We start from the raw sequence: 6,000 nt of genomic DNA, 5'->3' as shown, positions 1-6,000 counted from the left end.
GAGAAGCAATGACCTTTTTACATTTTATTGGTAAAGGTTAACGTGCAATTCAGGTACACACTTTTATTAGTAGTAGTAGGTTGTTAAAGGACAATAGTGCAGAAGAGAAGGCTTAGGTTTCTATACTTCATTCTGCCATGTAAATTTCCTTAATTAATGTCTAGTAAGGAAATCAATACAATTTCCTTTCATGAGATCAAAAGTTCTCAGTAGGAGTTATGGGTTCAACTGATAATTATTTTAAAATTTTATTAAACAAATACTCATACACTTACAGTCTACAAGTCAATGCCAATTGTAACAAAGGAGAGGTAGCCTAACGGTGTTGAAAACATGACCTATATGGGCAGCACTTCTCAGTGGATCAGCAGGAGATTGGCATCACCTGGGAGCTTGCTAGAAATGCAAATTCTCAGACTGATCTTCAATATCCTGAACCAGAACCTCTGGGGGTAATGCCCAGGAGTATGTTTTTAACAAGCCATGAAATTGTGGTAAGAAATGGTCTTGGAAAACCATAGAGCATTATGAAAGGGAAGGTATTATTGATGAGACAAGATTCAGGGCTTTACAGTAGGTAAAGAAACATACTGATTGGGCCAATAAGTGTGTTTCATTGAAGGGAGCAAAAGAGGCTTAGGACATGAATCAGCTGCTGTAGACCTAAGACTCACAAGGCAGCAAATGCAGCAACAGCTCCTGGAAGCACGTGTGCTATGGAGGGGAATTGATTTTTCTCCTCCTTGGGGAGATGGAAATGCTCATACTTTAGAGAGAGCAAAAGTAATATGCTGAAAAGCTTAGGAGTGGGGGAATTTTACATTAAATGACCTGTTTTTGTATTAATGTTCTATGGTGAGAACACATTTGTTTGTGAGTGATTTCAGAGAAAAAACGGCCATGGGCTCTATGTGCTTGCTATAGATGATTAGGCTACAATTACAAGTATTGGGCCAAAATAAGAAGATTAAAAATAGAGCTTTGATTATGGTGAAATTTCTTTACAGTAAAACTGAACCCAATGTAAAACTGTGGGAGTCCTAGTTTTAGCAACTCTAATTGTTAATCAGCCTCTCAGCCAGAGATTTCTGTGATAAATTTCAGGCTCTAGCTGTGACTAATTTGCAGCATCCTCACACAACTGGTAGGTGCCATTAGGCATCTTGGGTCTTTTATTTTAAAGTAAAGATAGATGGAATAAAGCTTAAAATTAAATACCATTAGGAAGCTAGTTTTAAAAATACTTCTTCTTTAATTTAACCTATGAACTCATTAAATATGGGGGTTGTGGTATGTTTAATTAAAACTCTCAATTTACAGCTACTTCAAAAGAATGTTTTAAAAAATATATATAGTCATGTTAAAACTAAGGAACTTGCCCTACTATTCTATGAGTTTCATGGGGCATCCCAACTATTGTGCCCATACCAGGAAACAAGGGGAAAGAGATCCTTTGGCACTTCTAGTGTCTACTCTTTTCTAATCGAATGTTTTTTAAGCCATGAGTTGTAACCCATCAGTTGGTCCTGAAATGTACTCACTGATTTGGTTATCATCACTCAAAAATGAAATATAATAAAACAGAAAATAGAATATATTACATTTATTTATTTATTTTTTAACTAAGAAAACATAATTTTAATCATGGTAAACTTTGTTCAATTCCTGTGTCCACTGTGCACATTCTTCAAAACTGTTTTGGTTTTGTTATTAATTTCCTTTGAAATTTTTCTCATGCAAGACTTTCAGAATCTTGTTTACACACATGCACACACACACATAATTAGGATAGCAAAATGTTCATAGATGCTGTAAAGTTGTGTGAATTCTATTTTTAAAATAAAAAAATGTACATATTACTATAAAAATAACTTCTCCCCCTTGTGGCAAAAATTGAAAATACATTCTACTGGAGAACTGTAAGAGAGGCACTTAGGTATTATTCCTTATAAAATATTTTCACATAACTTCATGTGAATCCCCCATGTTATCCTCTAAATGGTACACAGTATTTACAAACAATATGCTTAGAGGTAGCTTCACAGTTTTCTTTACATCCAGCATTGTCCAGACTCTATTTGGATATTTTCTATAGCAAAAAGCTAAAGGTTATTTATTTTTCTAAAAACAGGGACTCACTATGTTGCCCAGAGTGGTCTTGAACTCCTAGGTTCAAGTGTTCTTCCCACCTCAGCCTCCCAAGTAGCTGGGAAGCTGCAGACTTGATAAAAGTGCTACAATAAAAGGCCAGAGTTGAAAGGAACCAGTTACAGTATAAAGATTAAAATGATAGGCAGGCAAAGAGGGATGGCCTCACTTAGAGACACCTGCCAATTTAAGATTACAGGGGCATCAGGAAGGCTTCTCACCTCTCAAAGTTTAATCTCAAAACTCTGGAAGTCCACCATTGGAGACTAATTCCTTTGTTAGTTCTGTCCAATCTTCACTTAGTTTATTAACATAAAGATAACTGGAAGGGATACGACACTTTCCTCATTTAAGATTCCCAATGGTGAAAACAAAGAAAGTCACTCATCGGAGCTATAAATGAAACTTAGCTTTCTTATTCCAGGTTCCTACTTCCTTCCTTAACCTTCCATATTTCCTCCTATTAAGTCACTAGGCACTTATAATTCTACATTTTACTGACCTTTCACTGATTATAAAGTAATTTAATACATTTATATGAGTAACTATTGCTTTCTGAAACTTTTGTTCTGGTTGTGTATCTGTATACGTAGTAATAAAGCCCATTCAATCCATCCTCCAAGCAACACCAGAACTGTCTTTCTAAAGACACATCCAAAAAAGTCATTATTGGCCTCAAACTCTTCTCTCAGTTCCTATAACAGCCAGAATAATGTCTATGCTTTCTTTTGATGTCATTCAAGATCCTTTACCCAACTCCTCCCCCGTGGTCCTCCTACTTGTGATTTCAGAAAGTGACATCACCATCTACTCAGTTGCTCAAGCTCAAAACCAGGTAGTTTTCCTGTCCCCCACCCCTTTTCCAATCTACCCACCAATCTTATCTCTTTATTCTCATCTGGTCTGAGTCAAAATTAACGACTTCAAAGCAGCCTTCCCTAACCCCTCAACCTAGACCAGCTTCTAAACCTTCTACAGACTCTATGACACATTGTCTTCTTTTATATTTTTCATAATGTTTCCACCTGAAATTATTTTGTCTATTCTTGTAAATGTGTTTAGTACCTCTCTTCCCACCAGTGTGTAAGCTGCATAGGGGCAGGGACCTGATCTTTCTCTGGTTGTCTCTCTGGTGTTAAGGTCACTCAGGGAGCATGGTAGAAGAGGCATCAATAGATATTTACCAAATGAAAGGATTCTTTGCTTCCCAAATGTCCTCTTTTACCTTTTTGTTATAGTATCTTCTGTTTTCTCTGTCTAAAACATACTGCACCCACTTATTCTCTTAGTAGCCTTAGTATCCTTCACGATTTCATCTCTTGTATTAAAAATTTCCCGATGCCCTTGGATTATGCTAATACTTGTTCTCAGTGACACTACAGCCTTCTTATTCTCTGAATTGTGGTCGCTTTCATATTGGTCCTCCATGCTGGATTGTCAGCTTCCTCAGGGCAAGGCTGTGTTTATTCACACTTTTTGCTTCCTCACCTCCCAGCACATACTTGATACATATACTACTGTATATAGTTACTCAATACATGATTGAATAAACAAAGGGAAGAAAGCAGATGATCAAGAAAGATGATTATTTGTGATGATGTTCCCCGATTTAAGCTTTAAGTAAATAATATTCTTGATTTATAAGAAGAAGGAGATTAGTGTGTGTGCATTCTGTGAAAAAGTATGTGGGGGAGGGATGAGAGGAGGTACAAAGAAAAGTATAACTGTTCTATACAAAACACTTCTATTTATAAAATGGATCATTTTAAATATTAAGCTGTCTTAGTTCATTTATAATCTGATATGATTGACCACATTTCATTTCTACATGGTTTTTCAGAACCAAACTGTTAGGTAAGGTGAGGAAATAATGCTAAGGGTGAAAAAGCTTATGCGTCTATGACCTTAGGGTGCAACTGACCCAGACCAGAATAGTGTGGCATTTGCACTGCTGTCTGTGAGATTCTAATGTCGCGTTAGGAAACAAGATTAATAGAAAATGGGAGTGGAGGGAGGAAAAAAAATTTCCTTAAATAATATTGTATATATCTTTGTTCTCTCTGGATCGACTTTCTTTTTTGTTTTTTGTTTTTTCTTTTCTTTTTTTTTTGACATAGGGCCTCACTGTCTTGCCTAGGCTGGAGTGCAGTAGTGCAATCACTGCTCACTACAGCCTCAAGCTCCTTAGGCCCAAGAGATCCTCCTGCCTCAGCCTCCTGAGTAGCTGGGACTGGAGGTGTGCATCACTGTGCCCGGCTAATTTTTGTATTTTTTGTAGAGATGGGGTTTCACCATGATGCCCAGGCTTGTCTCCAATTCCTGAGTGCAAGTCATCCGCCTGCCTTTGTCCTCCCAAAGTGCTGGGACTACAGGCATGAGCCACCCTGCCTGGCCTGGATTTACTTTCTTTCTTTTTATTAGTATTATTATTTTTGAGATGGAGTCTCACTCTGTCACCCAGGCTGGAGTGCGGTGGTGTGATCTCGGCTCACTGCAACTTCCGCCTCCTGGGTTCAAACGATTCTCCTGCCTCAGCCTCCCGAGTAGCTGGGACTACAGGCGCGTGCCACCAGGCCTGGCTAATTTTTGTATTTTAGTAGAGATGGGGTTTCACCATGTTGGCCAGGCTGGTCTCGAACTCCTGACCTCAGGTGATCTACCCACCTTGGCCTCCCAAAGTGCTGGGATTACAGGCGTGAGCCACTGTGCCCAGCCTACTTTCTTTCTTAAAATAGCTCTTGCTTGCTCCTACCATCTTAAATAAAACTGCCAAGCTAGAAAAAAGCCACACCACCTATAAGCAAACCTATTTTTCTCTCTATCCTTTCATTTTTAATTAAAAGGCACCCTCACTTGATTTCAAATTCTACTTGAAGAGGATTCATTACAGTGGGAAGGAGAGGGGCAAATGCGGAATTGAGATCTCTAAAGCAATGAAAGGATTTCCCAAACACTTCATTATAATGAAAAATCCCTCTCTCCTTTCTTACCAGAGTAAGTAATATGAGAGGATCAATCATGCAAATAAATAGCTTCAATGGACAGTCCCTTTGGAAAATGCCTTTTCCCCTGTGAATCTCTGGCTGGCTTACCTCCTGTGACTTCAGGATGTCAGGAAGGTCCCCAGCTGCAGTTTCTCCTCTGAGGTTAATAGACCGCTTCTTTCTCATGAGCCCTGACTGACTTAAACAAATAAGCTAAGATCTGGTCATTTGTAGTTCTGTCACAGAGCCAGGATGGCTGCACTAGGGAATGGGAATTTTGATAGACAGAAGGCAAATGACAGGGACTTGTAGAAAGCCCCAAACAGCATGAGGAAATGGGTGTCCCTCTGGGAAAGAGAGACAGGACTCCAACAGGTGGGCTATGAGTAGAAAATAAAAGGGCAAAAGCATGGATATTAAGTTTGCCTGATTTACATTTCATCAGTGAGCTGGGGGAGGCAGAAACTGAAAGGACTTTTTTGGAAAAGAAATAAACAAATGAAAAATAAGAAGCAACGCTATTGTTTTGTAATTAAATAAAAATTAAATCAATTAGAAAACGAAATTTAAAAATTTCAAGAAGCCAGGTGCAGTGGTGCATGACTATCATCCCAGTTACTCAGGAGGCTGAGGTGGGAGAATCCCCTGAGCCCAGAAGTTCAAGGCTGTAGTGAGCTATGATTATGCCACTGTACTCCAGCTTGGGGGACAGAGCGAGACCTGAGACCCTGTCTCTTAAAAAAAAAAAGTTCACCTAAAAATTACTTTGCTTGTACTGTGATTTTTGAGATCATTGGATCTTCTGACCTTTAGAGTCTTGGTTTTTGGAGTAACCACCCGTGTCCCTCAAGACAAGGCCAGAGGTTGG

This window comes from Homo sapiens, chromosome 6 (assembly GCF_000001405.40).
Source record: "Homo sapiens chromosome 6, GRCh38.p14 Primary Assembly".
Lineage (NCBI taxonomy): Eukaryota > Metazoa > Chordata > Mammalia > Primates > Hominidae > Homo > Homo sapiens.
This window is presented reverse-complemented; position numbering follows the sequence as displayed.